The 22,005-nt window shown below is 46.1% G+C and overlaps 2 pseudogenes, besides 1 other annotated feature; both read right to left on the bottom strand.

Moving 5' to 3' along the window:
* Positions 1,378 to 2,019: an enhancer, noted in NCBI's record as "OCT4-NANOG-H3K4me1 hESC enhancer chr11:3604611-3605252 (GRCh37/hg19 assembly coordinates)". NCBI's record gives its function as "activates a minimal SCP1, AML or CMV promoter by ChIP-STARR-seq in primed H9 embryonic stem cells {active_cell/tissue: H9 hESC(primed)}" and the evidence as "EXISTENCE:reporter gene assay evidence [ECO:0000049][PMID:30033119]".
* VPS51P5 (VPS51 pseudogene 5) lies at positions 9,274 to 9,612 on the bottom strand (annotated as a pseudogene).
* Positions 17,640 to 18,665, bottom strand: OR7E117P (olfactory receptor family 7 subfamily E member 117 pseudogene; annotated as a pseudogene).

The raw sequence follows: 22,005 nt of genomic DNA on the forward strand, positions 1-22,005 counted from the left end.
AGAAGCAGAAAGAGGACTGTGGGGCTGGAGCATGGAGGGCGAGGGGAGAGAGGTGTGGTGGGCACACAGATTGCCTGGGACCCAGCCGTGCAGGGGCAGAGGAGATAGGGGATCCTTGCAGACCCCCAGCCGGGGCTGAAGCACAGAGACAATGCAGGTGGGCAAAGGGAGGAGACGTGGAGAAATATTTTGGAGGCATGCCCTGATGAATGAGCCTAGGATGCACCCTTAGTGTCAGTGTGGAGCTCCTTCCCTGGCTGTGTGATGAGCTGAACTCGGGGGTATTTTCTGGACATTGAGGTGCTACACCCAGAGTCCAGGACAGGCTAAGTGAGCACCAGCAGCTCCTGGCCTACCTCAAAAGCAGGAGAGACAGGGGAGACTGGGAAGGCTGGCGTGGAAGGGGAAGCCAGGAAGGCAGGAGAGGCCAGGGAAGCAGAGGAGGCCAGGGAGGCAGTGGAGGCAGGAGAGGCTGGGGAGGCTGTGTCCTTTCCATGATTCTGCCCAGGATCCTAGGCCCCTCTACTCCCTGAGCTTCCCCACCCCAAGCGCTGGAAACATGTTGCACAATGGTCTCCCCACTAAGCTCCTGATGGCGGCCCCTACCCTGCTGTGCTCCCTATTTCAACCCTAACAGCTCTCACAGTGGGCAGCACATAGTAGGTGCTCAGGAAACACTGGTGGGAGAGCACATGGGTGTGCTCAGCACCTTCTTCTCTCCTCCAGCTCTCCCCTGTCATGAAATAATTCTGATAACGACACATGGACTTTGAGACACTCTTCTATTACTTGCCATATGCTAATCCATCTATACCTCACAGCAGCCCTGGGGGTGGGTGCAATGAGGATGCCCATTTTACAGAGGAAGAGACCGAGGTATAAAGAGGGTAATTGAAATAGGCACACTACAGGGGCTGGGGCCAAGTGATCAGAGCACTCAATCCCCAAAGGCAAGGTGGACGCAGTTACCATAAAAGACAGCAGAGTCAAAGCTGCAACCAGAATTGCCTGACTCGCAGAGACCTATGGTGCCTGCTGATCGTGGCATTCCTAGAAGTGAAATAGATAAGAAGCCTGCCACATTTTTACTGGATCTGTGTTTGCAGAAGAGTTCTAGGTCAGGTGAGCAGAAGTCTAATCTGAATCATAAAAACAGAGTCACAGTCCCCAGTCAATTCCCAGACATAAGCCAGTTCACAGACCCGGAGTCCCTTGTCTGAATGGGAAGCCAGGTCCCCTCCAGAAAGGACTCTGCTCCACTGCCAAAAATTTATACTGTCAATCTTTCTCCCAGCCTGCCCCCAAGGGAATACACAGCCTTTTACCAGGATGACTGAACAGGAGAAAAGGAACTAATGAGACCTGTGCAGGATCACTGGACACAGGCTCTGAACTGGCACTAGGCTGAGACTAGGGTCTACCAGTCAGAATAGGCATTTTGGAGGTCAGGTGAATGTTGGTACAACTTCATGTCATGGTAGATCCATTGGGTCCCCAAATCCATCCTCTGGTTATATACAAAGTGGCAATGCTGAGATTCAAATTCAGGGCATCCAACATAGAGGCTGTGCTCTTACTCATGAAACATTCTGACACTAGTAACCATTTAAAAATGCAAACACCTCCTGGGGCTAGCCAGAGTCCTCCAAACAGTCATGTAAATTGGTTCTGTCAAGGATTTCCTCCCACCCCCTGCTGAGAGCCAGTTGCAAGGAGAGACTAGGGAAGGGCATTGGGTAACTTTGTTGCTAAAAGCTCTTCCGGATAAAGACATTTGGGAAAAGAAGAAAATAGAGTTCAGCAAAAGAGATAAGAAAGTAAGTTTATGTTTGGCCAGGCACGGTGGCTCACACCTGTAAACCCAGGACTTTGGGAGGCCGAGGTGGGCAGATCACGAGGTCAAGAGATCGGATCATCCTGGCCAACATGGTGAAGCCCCGTCTCTACTAAAAATTCAAAAATGAGCGGGCCATGATGGCACACGCCTGTAGTCCCAGCTACTCGGGAGCCTGAGGCAGGAGAATCACTTGAACCCAGGAGGCAGAGGTTGCAGTGGGCCGAGATCATGCCACTGCATTCCAACCCGGTGACAGAACGAGACTCCATCTCATAAAACAAACCAAAACAAACAAACAAACAAAAAAGCAATCTTATTTTTAAGCCTGAACAAGTATAGTGGTTTAGCGGTTCTGCAAATACGGCCCCAATCAGGCTACAAGATGTTGTGGCAGCAACACTTACACCCAGTCACTCCTGGCTGGCTGAACCACTTTTCAAAACACCCTTGCACAGCTGTGCAGAGCGGCTGGCTCCACTGGCAGCCCGCAGAGCCATAACTCACACTGTCACCACTCCCCTCAAACCCTTTCAGTAAGCACATTCCTTATTTTATTTTTTTTTTTTTTTGAGATGGAGTCTTCCTCTGTCATCCAGGCTGGAGTGCAGTGGCGCAATCTTGGCTCACTGCAAGCTCCGCCTCCCAGGTTCATGCCATTCTCCTGCCTCAGCCTCCCAAGTAGCTGGGACTACAGGCGCCCGCCACCACGCCTGGCTAATTTTTTGTATTTTTAGTAGAGACGGGGTTTCACCGTGTTAGCCAGGATGGCCTCAATTTCCTGACCTTGTGATCTGCCTGCCTTGGCCTCCCATAGTGCTGGGATTACAGGCTTGAGCCACCGCGCCCGGCCTGGTAAGCACTTTTAATCAAAGCAACAGGAATAAACATTTGCTGCAGAGCGGCAATGTTCAGGGAGGAACATTCTTCCACTCAGGCTCAGAAAGCAAAACCTCCTGGCTGTTTGCATCTGTGCGAGAGCTCGCAGGAAAAGCCCTCTGTGTGGCTGCCAGCCTCACACACTCCCCCGAAGGGGTGAGTTTCTCTTTCCATGTTAATCTATGCCCTGACGTGCCATCTGTCAACCACCACACCATTCTCAGTTGACATTTCAAAGCATCTTTGCCCTGGGAATGGTCACCAGCCCTGCCCTGCAAGCCCCCAGGTAACACTGAACTTAAATGAGAGAGAAAACAGGTTTCGGGGTGGATTTCAGTTCAGCATCTTGGAATATCTGTGTGGACATGAAATCTGTCTCCCCAGCCGTGGGCTGCATCCTTGTTTGTCATCTGGTTTTGTTGTTGGGGACTTGGAAACTCGTGGGCACCTTTGCAATTTGTCAAGAAGCTGCACAGCCCTCCCAACAAAAGCAAGCAATAGGAACAGAAGCCCAAGGCTTCAGATCAAGGTGCGACTTAAAGCAGCCTCAGTGTAAAAGCAAACAGGAGTCAGAGGGATGCCTAAGGCAGAGTCTAGTCCCCAGGGCAGCTATAAGACAAAGAGAAAGGGAGAGAGATAGACAGAGACAGAGACAGAAAGATAGAAAGAGATGGGAGGAGACATGAGGCACCCAGGCCTCTGCATCAAAATCCCTACAATAGGGGCTTCCTAAAAATGCAGGAGGCTGAGGTGGGCGCACACAGAAGTTCAAGACTAGCCTGGGCAACATACCAAGACCCTGTCTTTACAAAAAATACAAAAATCAGCCAGGTGTGGTGGTGTATGCCTGTGGTCCCAGCTACCCAGGAGGCTGAGGTGGGAGGATGGCTTGAGCCCAGGAGGTAGAGGCTGCAGAGAACCAAGATAGCAACACTGCACTCCAGCCTGGGTAATAGACTGAGACTTCATCTCAAAAAATTTTAAAAAAATTTTTTAAAAGGATCACCCTGGCTACTTGAATGGATGATAAGAAGGTAAGAGCAGAAGAAAGGAGACCAGCAGGGAGATTCTGCAGGTGGGAGTCCACAGTGGCTCAGACCAGGCTGGCGCTGAAGACCGGCTGGATTCTGTATATATTTTGATGATGAAGCAACTCACTGACTCTTGAAGAGTGGGCTCTAGGAGACAGTATTTTTAACAAGCTCTCAGAGGATTGTAATGCAGGCTGAAGTTGAAGAACTCCTGATTTAGGTGAAGCTTCTGTTTCATCCTTGGGGAAGTACCTACTGACTTTTCTCCAAGCCACCTCAAAAGAGGTGCTAGACAAGATGTGCTCCAATGTCTGAACATGTGTGCACAGCTCTAGAGCCAACCTCAGGACACTGAATCAAAGGTTAGGAGTACAACAGTGAACAACCACCATCCTCTTTTCAATGAGCTTTGCATTTAATGAGAGAAATAAAAAGCAAAAAAAAAATCATTTTCAACTCACAATGGTAGGAGTCATGGTGACAGTATGCCTGGGGCAATGGGAGCACAAAGAAGGGGCACCCAATTGGCCAGGTGCAGTTGTTCATGCCTGTAATCCCAGCACTTTGGGAGGCCAAGGTGGGTGGATCACTTGAGGCCAGGAGTTCGAAAACAGCCTGGCCAACATGGTGAAATCCTGTCTTTACTAAAAATACAAAAACATTAGCCGGGTGTGGTGGTGGGCACCTGTAATTCCAGATACTCAGAAGGCTGAGGTGGGAGAATTGCTTGAACCCGGGAGGTGGAGATTGCAGTGAGCCAAGATCGCGCCACTGCACTCCAGGCTGGATGGCCAGAGCGAGACTCCGTCAAAAAAAAAAAGCCAGGAGATGGGTGGGCATGCAATCTCTATCAGGTGGTCAGAAATCCTTCTCCACCACAGGACTCCTCAGTTGAAGACTAGAAAATGGTAGGAATCAGCCAGGTCAATAGGAGAGGTGTGGAAGATCATTCCCAGCAGAGGGAAGAGCATGTGCAAGAATCGAGACATGAGAGGGTGAGAAGCTGAGAGATGTTCATATAATTGTAAAAAGTGACTAATGTAGAGGTAAGTTGGAGCCAAATCTTAAAGGCTCTTTGTCATGTTTATCTTGTAGACAAAGGGAGACAGTAGATGGTTTTAGGCAGAGGAGTAATGATCCACTTTGTGCTATAAAAAGAGCAGTCTGGCTGGAGGAGAGTGGGAGGTGAGTAGACCAGGTAGGAGGTTGCAATACACCAAGTGAGACAAGATGGTTGGCTGGACCAAGGCTGTGGCAGTGAGGATGGAGAGGAGACAGTAGACTAACTTGACTGAGAAAGAGGGAGGAATGAAGGATGAGGCCCAGGTGTTTTGGAAGCTGGGTGGATGGTGGTGTGAATCTGATGTGGTGAGCCCAGGCAGAAGAGGAAATCAGGAGAGGAAAGGTAAGATGAGGTCAATGCAAGAAAGACAGCCAAGTGGAGATAACAACTGGGCAGTTGGATTCATCAGCCTAGAGTTATACAGAGAGCTCTGGAATGGAAATAAAGAGGAAAGGACTTTGGGAATAGGTGAATCCTCCCAGAATAATGTGTAGAGAAAGGAGAATAGAACACAGGGGACAGAAAAAGGGAAGAGATTTGTTATTAAAACCAACCATCCATCAGACATCTTCCAATACAACACTTGTTAGAGGTTTCCTCAGTGTGAGTTATTCAGGACCAGAGCTAAAGACCATATTCTCAATAACATCACTGCTGGGAAGGTCTTCATGAAAACATTTAATGCTGCTTTTAAAACAACAACAACAACAAAAAGGCTTTAGCTGCTGCACAGACCCTGGAGCAATGTTTTGGCAAGAGTCTATCAAACACGAATCTCATCTGACTCAAGGAGGTGTCATATCAAGTGTAAAAATCCAATTCCAATGTCCATAAGAGCCTTTCTGCCAGGTACAAGACCCTAATCCAGTTGAAGTGATTTTCTATTGATTAATAGGCTGGGAATACACAGGTTGTTGGTTTTTGAGATTTCCCTCCCTGTGCCTTCATGCCAGCTGTGAAAGAGTCAAAAGGCTCCTAACTGTCAAAATAAAAATGACACTTGGTCACAGAGGAAACAGATTATAGGTCAATCACATTGATGACTTTTTAACTATGAGAAGCCATTCATGTTACTGAGTAAGCAAATCTGTTTGCATAACCAGATTTTTATAGGCTACTGGGAATAAAGGTTTTCCTAAGTGGGTGATTTGTACGATAGCCTTTGGGTCTCTGATGGAACAGCTCTGATGAGGAAATGTTCATTTAATTATGTGGAAGTCCAATTACCATGTTATAGCCACATTGTTTTGCAGATTGCATATAATTTCACCATTTCCATAGCTTCAGCACTATAATTGTGGAGAAAATTCAGGCACCAAGAAGACACTTGAGGCACATTATGCTGGAGACAAAGATGTTTTAACGAATTCAATTTAAGCTTCAACATTAAAGTTATTTTGTTGAATAAAGCATAATGCAATAATGAGCTTGTGTATGTCAACTGTATAGTGGAGGTAATAATAGCTAGAGAGAGCATGTCCCATCTCCTCTTTTTAATGCTCATTTGAGTAATACATAATGCTATAGAGAGAACTTTTCTCTAATATGTGCTTCATCTCAGGCTAAGCGTGTTTTGTGCAGCTGTGCTTCATGGAAAAAAAAAGGTAAAGGATCTAATTTGGGAGCCATTCACAAAAGTGCTACCACTTGATGTTTTTTATACTCTGAGATTTCTTATTCCCAGTGCCTACCAGGAATGGACTTTCTGGAGAAGCTCAGATTAATCACTCCTTATGAGAGGTGACAGCGCGCTGGCAGCCCTCACAGCCCTCGCTCACTCTCGGTGCCTCCTTTGCCTGGGCTCCCACTTTGGTGGCACTTGAGGGGCCCTTCAGCCCGTGGCTGCATGGTGGGAGCCCCTTTCTGGGCTGGCCAAGGTTGGAGCTGGCTCCCTCAGCTTGCAGGGAGGTGTGGAGGAAGAGGCATGAGCCAGAACCGGGGCTACGTGTGCTGCTTGCTTGCCAGCTGGAGTTCTGGGTGGGCGTGGGCTTGGTGGCCCCGCACTAGGAGCTGCCGGCAGGCCTTGCTGGCCCGGGCAGTGAGGGGTTTAACACCTGGGCCAGCAGCTGCTGTGCTCGACTTCTTGCCGGGCCTTAGCTGCCTCCCTGTGGGGCAGGGCTTGGGACCTGCAGCCTGCCATTCCTTAGCCTCCCCCCTCTGTGGGCTCCTGCGCAGCCCGAGCCTCTCTGACAAGCACCGCCCCCTGCTCCACGGTGCCCAGTCCCATCAACCACCCAAGGGCTGAGGAGTGTGGGCACATGGAGAGGGACTGGCAGGCAGCTCCACCTGCAGCTCTTGTGCGGGATCCACTGGATGAAGCCAGCTGGGCTCCTGAGTCTGGTGGGGACTTGTAGAACCTTTATGTCTAGCTAAGGGATTGTAAATACACCAGTCGGCACTCTGTATCTAGCTCAAGGTTTGTAAACACACCAATCAGCACCCTGTGTCTAGCTCAGGGTTTGTGAATGTACCAATCGACACTCTGTATCTAGCTACTATGGTGGGGACTTGGAGAACCTTTGTGTGGACACTCTGTATCTAGCTAATCTAGTGGGGACTTGGGGAGCCTTTGTGTCTAGCTCAGGGATTGTAAACGCACCAATCAGTGCCCTGTCAAAACAGACAACTCAGGCTCTCTGTAAAATGGACCAATCAGCAGGATGTGGGTGGGGCCAGGTAAGAGAATAAAAGCAGGCTGCCCGAGCCAGCAGTGGCAACCCGCTGGGGTCCCCTTCCACACTGTGGAAGCTTTGTTCTTTCGCTCTTTGCAATAAATCTTGTTGCTGCTCACTGTTTGGGTCCACACTGCCTTTATAAGCTGTAACACTCACTGAGAATGTCTGCAGCTTCACTCCTGAAGCCAGCAAGACCATGAACCCACCGGGAGAAATGAACAACTCCAGACGTGCAGCCTTAAGAGCTGTAACACTCACCGTGAAGGTCTGCAGCTTCACTCCTGAGCCAGCGAGACCACGAACCCCACCAGAAGGAAGAAGCTTTGAACACATCCGAACATCAGAAGGAACAAACTCCAGACACGCCACCTTTAAGAACTGTAACACTCACCAGGAGGGTCCGCAGCTTCATTCTTGAAGTCAGTGAGACCAAGAACCCACCAATTCTGGACACACTTATACACTTGGCACTGGGAGGTCTGTATGGAGCAAGTGAAGAAATCAGCAGAGTGAAGATAGAGGGAGAAAAACATGATGGGGGAAAGGCAAAGTTACTGCCATGTTGGTTTCAATTCTGCCACTCATGAGTGAGACCCATGACCTCCTCTCTCTAGGACTCTGTTATTCTTATCTGTAGAGTGGAGGAATAGAAGGGCCTTTTAAAGTATTAACATTTCCTGACCTATCTGTAAAACACTTTCATTCAAACTGATGGAAATCTTGACTACTTTGCCAAGAGGACATAATAATCATCAAGCTGAATGCACCAAACAACATTGCCTGAAACTATCTAAGCAAAAACTGAGAAAGTGACACAGGACAGACAAGCCTCCTATAAGAGTAAGAACTCTTCAGCACATGCTTAGAGTGTCAAAGACAATGCTGTGTTCACACCATTCCTCTTCCTGGACATGCAGAAAGACTACATTTCCCAGCCTTACTTGCAGTTAGTTTGGAACCATGTGACTGCATTTCCACCAATAGGAATGTAAGAAATCCCTTCGGGCCAAGGTTATCAAAGGCAAGTGTGAGCTATGTTCCCTCTCTTCTTATCCATATGGCTACCAGTGAAAAACTCTGAGATGGCAGAATTAAAAGACGGAAACCTCCAGAATCTCTGAATCACTGTTGGACAAGGGCCCCTAAGGAGAACCCCTGCCCTGCACCAGACTATGCTATGGGTGCCAACCCACTGAGAGTTCAGGGTTTATTCGTCTCAGCAGCAGTCTATTGTTACACTGACTAACATTCTAAGGTTTGAGAGATCCAGCATATTGTTAATTGAAGCTAGATTTCAATTACACTGAGAAACTTATCTATTTAAAAATAAAAACTCTCCCAAAAAAAAAACAAATAATCCATATTCCTTTTAACAACATGTGGCAAATTTGCAAAAAAAAAAAAAACAAAAAACTGGCCACATATTAGGCCATAAAGAAGTCTCAACAAAATCCACTATACGATTGACATTGTCCAGACCACATTTTCCTGACCATAATGCAACAAAATTAGAAGTCAACAGCAAGAAGATAGCTAAACACAAGCATACATTAGGAAAATTAAAAATATCCTTTCATGAGTTAAATGAAAAATCACAATAGAAATTACTAAACATTTACAATTGAACGAAAACACAACTTCATATATATATATATACATATATATATATAAATACATATGTATTTTTTTGTGTGAGTCTTCCAACTTTGTTCTTCTTTTACAAGGTTATTTGGGAAATTCTGGGTCTCCTGCAATTCCTCATACAGTTTTACACTGTTTGTCAATTTCTGTGGCTGGGATGAACTTATCATAGTTCTCATAGACCAGGGTTTGCATGTCGCTGTCTAGAGCCCGGATCTGCGGCACCATGTCCGTCTCACTGTCTATCAGCTGGGCCAGAGGGCACTCTCTAGGCAGCTTGTCTAGGTAAAGTTCCGGGTCGAAGTGCGCCCCGTTCAGATCAGTGGAGTCCAGGGGGTCGGGCCCCGCGGGGAGTCCCACCGCCTCCCCTTTCGAGAGGCCATTGTAAAGCTTTAGCATCCTGTGCGCCTTCCGCCGACGCTCCGTGAGCCTCCACATCGGGCCCTTCTGGGGAGTCCCAAGGTCCACACCCCGGGCTAGGCCCAGTGACAGCTGCCGCCGCCATAGCTCCAACTGCAGCCCACGGGCGTAACTTTTTATATTTTTAAGTTGGATACATGGAGCTACTTGGCTTTTGCTTTCATCTCATCGTTGAGGAAAGAGGTGGCTGCTTATGGTACCCCTGTTTTTACTGCAACCTGTAATGGATGAGAACCTCCCTGTTGCAGAGAGCAAAACACTGAAATAAATTGTGCTGTAACACAGCCCTGTGTTGGGGGATTGGGAGTGATCATGCAAATGCTTGCAAATTTGCACAGTGACAGAGACAATGGTCTGGGCAGCTGTTGACTATATGAAAAGGCAATTGACCAAAAGTCAGTTACTGAGCTATCTCAATACTTTCATTTTATTTTAGCTTTTGGCAACAGGGTGCGATTAAAGGAGAGAAAGAAAACACAGTGATAAGTGTAAGATAATGTACACACATGTGTAAAAGAAAATGACAAGACAGGATGACTATTTGTCTCTTGGTTAGCTCCTTGGGCTCTATGTCTCCTTCCTCAGAGAACCTCGTTTTCCTTTGTCCAGATTTGTTAGGGTGGATAATCCAGGCCCCTGCTCCCCCATGATAGAAGCCAAAGACATCCCTGGAGCCGCATCCCACTGCACCCTTTCCTGCACTGCCCACATGGACACAACTCAGCCCATTAGACTTCCTCTCAGAACTCTAGTCTTGAGCAAAGGGATTAAAGGGTGAAGTGACTGAAGGTATGCCCTTCCAAAGTGGTACGTGAGCTAATGGCTAAAGTTTGCAAAGCCCATCCAAGCACATTTTTTCGTAATTTTTATTTATTTATATTTTTAAGACAGAGTCTTGCTCTGTTGCCCAGGCTGGAGTGCAGTGGCGTGATCTCGGTTCACTGCAACCTCTGTCTCCCGGCTTCAAAGGAGTCTCCTGCCTCAGCCTCCCCAGTAGCTGGGATTACAGGCATACGCCACCATGCCTGGCTAATTTTTTTTTTTTTTTTTTTTGTATTTTTAGTAGAGACAGGGTTTCATCATGTTGGCCAGGCTGGTCTCGAACTCCTGACCTTGTGATTCGCCTGCCTCAGCCTCCCAAAGGGCTGGGATTACAGGCGTGAGCCACCGCGCCCAGCTTCCAAAAGTTTTAAGCAGAGCTCAGAGGTCTTAACCACAGGCACATCGGAGGAGCATTTTTGAAACACTTTCCAGCTTCCTCAATAGGAATGGAAGCCAAACTCCGAATTGATGACTCCTTTCAGGAAGTCGAGAGCTGTAACGAAAGCCAGGAACAGGGGCAAGGGAGAGATGCGTCCCGAATGATCCTTTGCCAACTCTTTCTGGAATCCTCGATGTGATCTCAGCTGCCCTTTCTATACATGACACAGTGATTGTGGCACCCACTGGTCTAGCTGTGGTCTACAAGGAACCCCCAAAGGGAAGGGCACAGTGAGCAGGGGCATCGGCCTGAGTGACGAGGATTTGAGAGGGCAGGTTGGATGCAGGAAGAGGACTGGCCAAATGCCATGTGTCTGGACTTAGACTGCCTGGTTCAAATTGGACTTCACCCTCTTTGACTTCGTGATCTGGTACAAGCTACATGAAAACCCATTGCGCCTTTTCTAGTCTGTAAAATCATCATGAAATGTGCACTAATAATGTGGAGACTATGCAGATGAAATGAAACAAGCTGCATAGAGAACAGAGCTCAGAGCCTGTCCTTTAGGAAGCCCTCAGTAAGGGTTCATGATGCCATGGTGTCTGTCGTCATCCTCTTTATCCTCATCATCACCTTCATAATCTCTTTGTTGTTCTTAGGGAATAGTTTAGAGGGACTCATTCCCTGCTATCATGGGTGAGATGTCTATGAAAAGGACAACCAGTGGGGGAGGAAAGAAAAATTTTGAATAAGATTTCTGAGACCCCCAGCACAACCAAGAACAGAAACTCCACAGTCTGCTGAGCACAGAGTTTGCATATTGGTCTCCTCACATCTGCCCAGCGCATTCTCCTGTTTGTCCTGAGGAGGAGGAAACAAACAAGGCTCCAGACCGTCCCTCAGCACTCACTTGAAGGGGTGGCCTGCCCCTCCACACCTGTGGGTATTTCTAGTCAGGTGGGATGAGAGACTGAGAAAAGAAATAAGACACAGAGACAAAGTATGGAGAAACAACAGTGGGCCTAGGGGACCGGCACTCAGCATACCAAGGATCTGAACCAGCACAGGCCTCTGAGTTCCCTCAGTTTTTATTGATTATTATTTTTATTATTTTAGCAAAAAGGAATGTAGTAGGAGGGCAGAGAGATAATAAGGAGAAGGTCAGCAATGAACGTGTGAGCAATACAATCTAAGTCATAAGGAAGTCCAAGGGAAGGTACTATGACTGGACATGCACATCAGCCAGATTGATGTTTCTCTCCACCCAAACATCTCAGTGGAGTAAAGAATAACAAGGCAGCATTGCTGCAAACATGTCTCACCTCCCACCATAGGGCGGTTTTTCCGCCATCTCAGAATTGAACAAATGTACAATCGGGTTTTATACCGAGACATTCAGTTCCCAGGGGCAGGCAGGAGACAGTGGCCTTCCTCTCTCTCAACTGCAAGAGGCTTTCCTCTTTGACTAATCCACCTCAGCCAGACCCTTTGCTGGTGTCCAGCTCGGGGACGGTCAGGTCTTTCTCCTCCCACGAGGCCACTTTTCAGACTATCACATGGGGAGAAACCTTGGACAATATGGCGCTTTCAAGGGCAGAGCTCCCTGAGGCTTTCCACAGTGTATTGTGCCCCTGGTTGATTAAGAATAGAGAATGGCGATGACTTTTACCAAGTATACTGCTTGGAAACACCTTGTTAACAAGGCACATCCTGCACAGCCCTAGATCCCTTAAACCTTGATTTCATACAACACAAGCTTTTGTGAGCTTCAGCTTGGGTCAAAGTGGTTTGTTCAAAGTGACGGGCAAAGCTACAGATTAACAACATCTCAGCAAAGAAATTGTTGAAAGTACAGGCCTTTTTCAAAATGGAGTCTCTTATGTCTTTCCTTTCTACATAGACACAGTAAGAGTCTGATCCCTCTTTCTTTTGCCTACACTCACTGAACTGCCCTTCCCCTCTGCTGGGTCATGACCACGGAGAACAGGTCCACTGTCCTCCCTGCGTGGTGCACCATGGAGGCTCAGACTCCGTCCTCGAGGCTGGCAAGAAGACAGGGTAAGACATGAGCCTCCTGATACAGGTGATGTCTCTGGAGCCCACAGGACTGGAACCTCACACTGCAGGGCTGGAGGCACAGATTGACTATTTACTATTCTGTGGCCTGGGGGCTCAAGGCACACAGCTCCTCATTAGCCAAAGTCACCCAAGTTCCCCAACCTCTAAGGATTTCCTTATAAAAATTCAAGAAGAAGAAGAGAAAAGTGAGTGTCCATAGAAGCTTTGGGGCTCTTCCTCTAATCAGGAGAAAGCTGGTGTGTATTATTCGCTTCTTTCTTTGCTTTTTAAAGATCCAACTGCTTTAATTTTCATCTTTTATTATGGGAAAATATACCACGTATAAATATGAAAAATTATAAATATATATTAGTTCACATAGAATGGCCAGTATAAACATTTACAGTTTCCACACTTTTTCAGTTTACAGTTTCATGACATTAAGTACGTTCACATTGTTTAGCAACCATCACCGCCATCATCTCCGGAACAGTTTTATCTTTCAAAATGGAAATTGCACCCATTCACCAAGCTCTCCACTCCTCTCTCTCGCCCGCCCCTGGGGGCCACCTTTCTAGTTTGCAACTCTATGAGTTTAACTACTCTGGAAACCTGATAGATAAGTGGAATCATGCCGTGTTTAATTTTCTTGTTTTGGAGACAGAGTCTTTCTCTGTCACCCTGGCTGGAGTGCAGTGGCGTGATCTCGGCTCACTGCAACCTCCACATCATGGGTTCAAGCGATTCATCTGTCTCAGTCTCCGGAGTAGCTGGGATTACAGGCGTGCGCCACCAAGCCCAGCTAATTTTTATATTTTAAATAGAGACCATATTGGCCAGGCTGGTCTCGAACTCCTGACCTTAAGTGATCCGCCTGGCTCAGCCTCCCAAAGTGCTGGGGTTACAGGTGCGAGCCACTGAGCCTGGGCTTGTTTATCCTTTTGGGATTCATTTATTTCACTGACGATAATGTTTGCAAGGTTCATCCATGTTGCGGCCTGCGTCAGAAGTGCCTCTCTGTTTTTTTTGTTTGTTTGTTTTTTATTTGTTTGTTCGTTTGACTTTGTTTTGTTTTGTGTTTCCATGGAGTCTCACTCTGTCGCACAGGCTGGAGTGCAGTGGCACAATCTGGGCTCACTGCAACCTCCGCTTCCCAGGTTCCAGCGATTCTTGTGCCTCAGCCTCCCGAGTACTTGGGACTATAGGTACACGCCAGCACGCTCGTCTCATTTTTTGCATTTTCAGTAGAGACAGGGTTTCACCAAGATGGCCAGGCTGGTCTTGAATTCCTGACCTCAGGTGATCCGCCCACCTCGGTCTTCCAAGACGCTGCGATTACAGGCATGAGCCACCGCACCGGCCAGAAGTGCCTGCCTTTTGAAGGCTGAATAGTCTTCCATTGTATGAAGGAACTGCAGTGTGCTTTTCAATTCATCTGTCCACGAACCCTTGGGTTGCTTCCACATTTTGGCTGTTGTGAATAATGCTGCTATGAATATGGGTGTACACAAATTTGTCTTCCACTCCTGGCTTCTAATTCTTTTTGGTAGGTACCCACAAATGAAACTGCGGGAATATCTGATCATTCTGTTTCTAATTTTTCCAGTACACGCCATACTATTTTCCCCGTTCCTTCATGGTTTTACATTCCCTCCGATCATATTCGAGCATTCCTACTTCCCTCTAGTCTCACCAATGCTTGTTTGTTTATCATATCCATCCTAATGTGTGGTATCACATTCTTGGTTTGATTTGCACTTCCCTATGATGAGTGATTTTGAACATCATTTTATATGCTTATTGGCCATTGCGATATCTTCTTTAGGAACACATCTGCTCGAGTCTTCTGACCATTGTTGATGGGATGCTTTGGGTTTCTTGTTGTTTAGTTCTAGCTGTTCTTTATATATGATGGATATCAGCCTCTTTTCAGATATATGCTTTGCAAATATTTTTCCTAATCCATGGGTTATCTTTTCACTCAGTTCACAGTGTTTTTTGCTGCACAAAAGTGTCTGTCATTTAGATGTAATCCAAGGAATCTAATTTTCTTTTGTTGCCTATGCTTTTGGTGTCATATCCCAGAGAACATTGTCCAATCTGATGTCATGAAAGTGTGGCCAATGTTTTCTTTTAGGCGTACGATACTTTTAGCGCTTGGGGTGAGGTCTTTGATCCAGTTTGTGTTAATTTTTGCACCTAGTGTGACATAGGGTCCACCTTCATTCTTCTGCATGTGGAAATCAAGTTTCTCCAACACCATTTCTTGAAAAGGCTTCTTTTCCACCAATGAGCTTTCTTAGCACTCATGTGAAAAATCATTTGAACATATAGGTGAGAAGTTATTTCTGGGCTCCAAAACAAACAAACAACAACTGACAACAGATAAAGATACAGCATGGGCCGGGCGCGGTCGCTCACGCCTTTAATCCCAGCACTTTGGGAGGCCGAGGCGGGCAGATCACCTGAGGTCAGGAGTGGAAGACCAGCCTGACCGACAGGGAGGAACCCCCGTCTCTACTAGAAATACAACATTAGCTGGGCGTGCTGGCGCATGCCTGTAATCCCAGCTACTCGGGAGGTGGAGGCAGGAGAATCGCTTGAACCCAGGAGGCAGAGGTTGCGGTGAGCCAAGATTGCACCATGACACTCCAGCCTGGGCAACAAGAGTGAAACTCCATCTCAAAACAAAAAACAAAAACCAGCATGATTTCAAGAGCAGAAAGAGAAGAGCTTAAAAACCAGCACAATGAGAAAGTTAGGAAGCTTCTTACCAAAGCCTCTGGAAATATGCAAGCAATTCTTGTGAACTAAAATTTTCATACTGTACTATCAAACACTAGAACTCACTTATTCCATCTTTCTGTATTTTGGGACCCAATTATCCACTTGTCTTCATTACCTATCCCAACCCTTTTCTTCCTAGCGTCTGCTGATCACCTTTATACTTTCCACCTTCCTGAGATTCCTTTTGTGTGTAGGTGTGTGATGGAGTCTCTTTCTGTTGCCCAGGTTGGAGTACACAGGCACAGTCCGGGCTCACTGCAAGCTCCGCCTCCCGAGTTCAAGCGCTTCTTGGGCCTCAGCCCTCCAAGTAGCTGAGACTACAGGCACGCGTCACCACGCGCGGCTCATTGTTTGTGTTTTCCGTAGAGACGGGGTTTCACCATGTTGGCCAGGCGGATCTTGAACTCCTGGACTCAAGTGATCCATGCGACTCGGCCTCCCAGAGTGTTGGGATTACAGGCCTGAGCCACCACACCTGGCCAAGGTTTCCTTTTTTCTTCCTACATAGAAGCGAGGACATGAAATATTTGTCATTCTGTGCCTGGCTTATTTCATTTAATATACAGACCTGCAATCTCATCAATTTTGTCTGCAACGGAGAGGAATTTCTTCCTTTTTAGGCTGAATAATACTTCACTGGGTGTGTATACCACAGTTTCTTCATTGAAACAAATTTCTGAAGAGCAAATATTTTAAAAATGTCTCAGAATGTGAAACTTCAGGGATACTGTGCCCATTTTATTCTTTTCTATTTCCCATCGTATGTATATGCAAGTGTATAACAAAGCAGCAATCAATGTGTGTATAAATCTATAACTTCAACAAATGTAAAATGTAAATGCTAAGTGGTGGCTGGGCGCGGTCGCTCAAGCCTGTAATCCCAGCACTTTGGGGGGCGGAAGCGGTGGATCACCTGAGGTCGGGAGTTCAAGACCAGCCTGACCAAAATGGAGAAACACTGTCTCTATTAACAATACAAAAAAAAAAAAAAATTATTCAGGCATGGTAGCGCATGCCTGTAATCCCAGGTAATTGGAAGGCTGAGACAGGAGAATTGCTTGAATATGGGAAGCAGAGGTTGCAGTGAGCCGAGACCGTGCCATTGAACTCCAGCCTGGGAAACAAGAGTGAAACTCTGACTCAAAAAAAAAAAAAAGGAAAAGAAAGAAATAGAAAATGCGAAATGTTAAGAAAAAACAGCATAATAAACATTTGTATGGTGTTGATGGACAATGCATTTGAAGATAATATTTGAAGAAATATTACAATTAATTTCTGTTCTTACTCATTGGAGCTTGATGCCCCTAAAAACTTCGTCATTGGAACCACCTCTGGTGCTTTAAAAGAAAAAAAAAAAAAAAAAATCCACATACTCACACAGGTGCAAGGAAACCAGAATCTCAGGTATTGAGACCCAGGCCTCATCATTTGTAAGCTCCCCAGGTGATTTGACTCAAAACCAAGATTGAGGAACGGCAACATGGATCTCTATACATAACCTGCCTAAATGGATTCTCTAGAAGCAGTTTATAAAGAAATTCCACATGAACTCTGGAAGAGGATATGAATTTGATGTACAGTATGTCCTCACTTAACATCTTTGAAAGTCTCTTGGAAACTTCACCTTGAAGCAAAATCATGTATAGTGAAACCACTTATTTTTCATCAACAGTATAACTACACAACTTTGAACAACCAATGGTGTTGGAGGACCTCCTGTACATTGTTTCCATAAAGTCAGTTTTCAGGGAATTCCAAAACGAAGTGAGGACTTCGTGTATATAAAAAGATGGTTGTGATTCCACCTGGATGACAGGGTTATTGCTCAGAAACTAAAAGAAGCCGCCTAGGTATAGAGGATCCTGTCATGAGGTTTCTGCTAAATAAAGGATCCCAGAATCCTCACCCATTCCAGTGAAAGGCATAACGAAGAAAGCAATATTCACAAAGGAAAAGTGGAAAGGAATAAAAGCCATCAAGCCACAAAAATAATGTGACTAAGGGGCAGGATTTGCAGATGTAGAGATTTAATGTGGTTGCCCTTTCTCACCCACACAAGAAAAAGGATGGAACAGATCATAAGATTCGACTGTTCTGCTGAGCAGCCTCCGCAGGGCACTTTGTATGTCCCTGTTTCTCAGGCTGTAGATGAAAAGGTTCAGCATGGGGGTGACCACAGAGAACATCGCTGACGCCACCACACCATTCCTGGGGGGTGGTGACACAGCTGAAGTCAGGTACATGCCAATGCCTGTTCTATAAAATCAGCAAACAACTGCTAGGTGAGAGCCACATGTGGAGAAGGCTTTATACTTCCCATCTGATGATGAAATCCTTAGAATGGAGGGGACGATTTTACAGTAAGACCATAGGATCCCTGAAATGGGAAGAAAACCAAACATAGTACTATTGAAATATATGAATATGCTATTGATGACGCTGTCAGAACAGGCAAGTTTGAGAAGTTGAGAGGGGTCACAGACAAAATTAGAGATTTCCACATTCTTGATGATTGTGAATTGTAACACAATTCAACTGTGCAGCTGGGAATCCAACATGCTAAGGAAAAAGGACACCAAAAGGAAGGAGACACAGAGGTGAGGATTCACGATGACTGGGTAGTGCAGAGGGCGACAGATGGCTACAAAGCAGTCATAGGCCATCACTGTCAGGAGCATGCCTTCTATACATGCAAAAAGGATGAAGAAAGACATCTGCGTCAGACAGCCCGCATGAGAGATGACTCTGCTATGCGACTGCATGTCCACAACCATCTTGGGAACCGTGGCCAAGGTGAAACCGATGTCAGCCCAGCACAGTTTAGAGAGGAAGAAGTACACGGGGGTGTGGAGGGGAGAGACAGAGCTGACAGCCAGGATGCTGAGCAGGTTCCTCAGCACCATGACCAGACACATGGACAGGGACAGGGAGAGCAAAGCGAGGACCGGCTGCAGTTCTGGATCCTCTGAGAGTCCCAGGAGGAGGAATTCTCAGACATCTGTGAGATTCCATGGCTCTGTGTGTCTTGGACACCTTGAGAAGGAAAGAGGATTGGAAAAATAAAAGATAAAAACCAGCCCTTAATGCTGGATGCAAGCAATTCACAAGGAACATCTTCACACTTGTGGACCATACACCGCCAGCAATGTTTCTCAGTTATGACAATTCCAAAAATCTCAGAATTATTACGTGATTTACTTTTTTGCTATACAAGGCTTTCTGTACATACTACTTTAGAGAAAATCCACTGAAGAATATTAGAAGACCAAAACGTCATATATAACAAATCCGTGATCTCAGTAAAATACGGCCTACTCTTTTCAGAAAAAATACAATGCAATGACAATGTCCTTCTCTCTTTAAGAAAAAGATCTCAGTCTAACTGAAAGAAATTAAGAAGCCGTGAAATACACTCTACTTTATTCTGACACGGTGCTACAACTTCCATTGATGTAGAACATGTAAAAGGACAACACAAGAGCTAGGACCCCATTATCTGAAAACGAAATCAAACCTTATAGTTCTCAATCGGAAGACCTTTTCACATGCCTGTTATTTTTCATATTTATTATCATCCTTCGGTTTTCTGACATCATTTCTTCATAAAAGTACATGCACACTCAAAAATGGGAGCTGTGTTTCCAAATGAATTGAATCTATAACTCTTGGCCCAGCACCATGGCTCACACCTGTAATCCCAGCACTTTGGGCGGCCGAGGCTGATGGATCACCTGAGGTCAGGAGTTCCAGAACAGCCTGGCCAACGTGGTGAAACCCCGTCTCCAGTGAAAATAAAAAAACATTAGCCGGGCATGGTGGCGGCTAACCCTAGCTACTCGGGAGGCTGAAGCAGGAGAATCCCTTAGAACCTGGAAGGCAGACATTGGACACCCTGTGATAGGATTTTTGATATCCTAGGGAGATATTGCTCCTGACAGCAGAGTGGGCGTACACCCTGTGATATTATTTGTAATATCCTAGAAAGATATTGCTCCTAATATCACGGTCGCTCTACACCCTGTGATCTTAATTGTAATATCCTACAGAGATATTACTCCTAATAATACAGTGGGCGTACACCCTGTGATATTATTCATAATATATTACAGAGATACGACTCCTGATATCACAGTGAGTGTACACCATGTTTGTACACTCTGTGATCTTATTTGTAACAACTTAGAAAAATATTACAGGTAATATCAAAGTGGGTGTACACACTGCGATGTTATTTGTTATCTACTAGGTAGATATTACTCCTAATATCACAGTGAGTGTACACCATGTGTGTACAGACTGTGAAATTATTCGTAATACCCTAGGAAGATATTACTCCTCATATCACAGTGGGTGTACACCGTGAGTGATATTTTTTTCTAATATCCAGCGGGGGAGAGGATGATATTGCTTCCCATATCACAGAAGGTGTACACCCCCCTGTGATATTGTTCCTAATATCCAGGGAAGGAGAGGATGACATTATTCACAATATCACTGGGGGTGTACCACCTCCCGCCCCGATATTGTTCTTAATATCCGGAGGTGGAGAGAATGATGTTACTCCCAATATCACAGGAGGTGTACACCACCCCTGTTTGTAAACACCCCTGTGATATTGTTCCAAATGGCCTGTGAAAGAGTAAACATGACTCCCATTATCGCGGGGGGTGTTCAGCCCTTATGATATTGTTTTCTAACATCCAGGGAAGGAGAGTATGCTATTACTCCCAATATCGCAGGGGTTGTACACCCTTTTGTGTTTTTGTGCCCAATATCCAGGAAAATAGAGGATGATGTTTCTCCCAATGTCGAGGTAATTGTACAGCACCCCTGGGATAGTCTCCCTAATATCCAGAAAGGAAGAGAATGATATTACTCCCAACAGCGTAGGAAACGTATACCCGTGCTGTGGTATCTTTCCCAGTATCCAGGTGGGGAGAGGATCATATTACTTCCAATGTCGCAGGGTGTGTACACCCTTTCTGTGATCTCGTCGCTAACATCCAGGTTTGGGGAGGACGACATTACTCCCAATATCGCAGGGGGAGTACACCCCGCTACAGGCATGAGCCACCGTGCCTGCCCGGCATCTTCTTTCAATAGAAGGCAGTTTCATCTACATTGAAAATCTGTTGTTAGTGTAGCCACCTTCATCAATGATCTTAGCTAGATCTTCTGGGTAACCTGCTGTAGCTTCTCCATCAGTACTTGCGGCTGCTTCTTGTACTTTAATGTTAAGAAGATGGATTTTTTTCCTGAAACTTCATGAACCAACCTCTGCTAGTTTCAGACTTCTCTTCTGCAGCTTCTTCACCTCTCTCAGCCTTCATAAAATTGAAGAGGGTTAGGGCCTTGCTCTGGGTTAGGCTTTGGATAAGTGTGTATCATGGCTGATTTGATCTATCCATACTGTTAAAACTTTCTCCATGTCAGCAATAAGGCTGTTTTGCTTTCTTATCATTCATGTGTTCACTAGAGTAGCACTTTTAATTTTATTCAATAATTTTTCAGCTGGATGCGGTGGCTCACGCCTGTAATCCTAGCACTGTGTGAGGCCAAGGCAGGTGATCCCTTGAGCTCAGGAGTTCAAGACTAGCCTGGGCAATATGGCAAAAACCCCATCTCTACATAAAATACAAAAATTGGCCGGGCCCGGTGGCTCATGCCTGTAATCCTAGCACTTTGGGAGGCCGAGGCAGGCGGATTGCCTGAGCTCAGGAGTTCGAGATCAGTCTGGGCAATATGGTGAAACCCTGTCTCTACTAAAATATGAAAAATTAGCTGAGTTTGGCAGCATGCACCTGTTGTCCCAGCTACTTTACTTTCTACTTTTTAGTTAGAAAGGCATGGCAAAGGCTAAGGTAGGCTGAAAGCTAGGTCTCCTATGGCAAACAGCCAAGTGGTAAATGCAAAGAAAAATTTCTTTTTTCTTTGAGACAGGGTCTCACTGTCACCCAGGCTGGAGTACAGTGGTGCAATCTGTACTGAGGCTGAGGCAGGAGAATTGCTTGAACCCGGGAGGCAGAGGTTGCAGTGAGCCAAGATCGCACCACCGCACTCCAACTTGGGTGACAGAGCAAGACTCTGTCTCAAAAAAAAAAAAAAAAATTGGCCAGGCACAGTGGCTCACACCTGTAATCCCAGCACTTTGGGAGGCCAAGGTGGGTGGATCATGAGGTCAGGAGATTGAGACCATCCTGGCTGACATGGTGAAACCCCGTCTCTACTAAAAGTATAAAAAATTAGCCGGGCGTGGTGGCGGGCACCTGTAGTCACAGCTACTTGGGAGGCTGAGGCAGGAGAATGGTATGAACCCAGGAGGCGGAGCTTGCAGTGAGCCGAGATCGTGCCACTGCACTCCAGCCTAGGCAACAGTGCAAGACTCCGTCTCAAAAAAATTAAAAAATAAAAAATAA

Source organism: Homo sapiens, chromosome 11 (genome assembly GCF_000001405.40).
Source record: "Homo sapiens chromosome 11, GRCh38.p14 Primary Assembly".
NCBI lineage: Eukaryota > Metazoa > Chordata > Mammalia > Primates > Hominidae > Homo > Homo sapiens.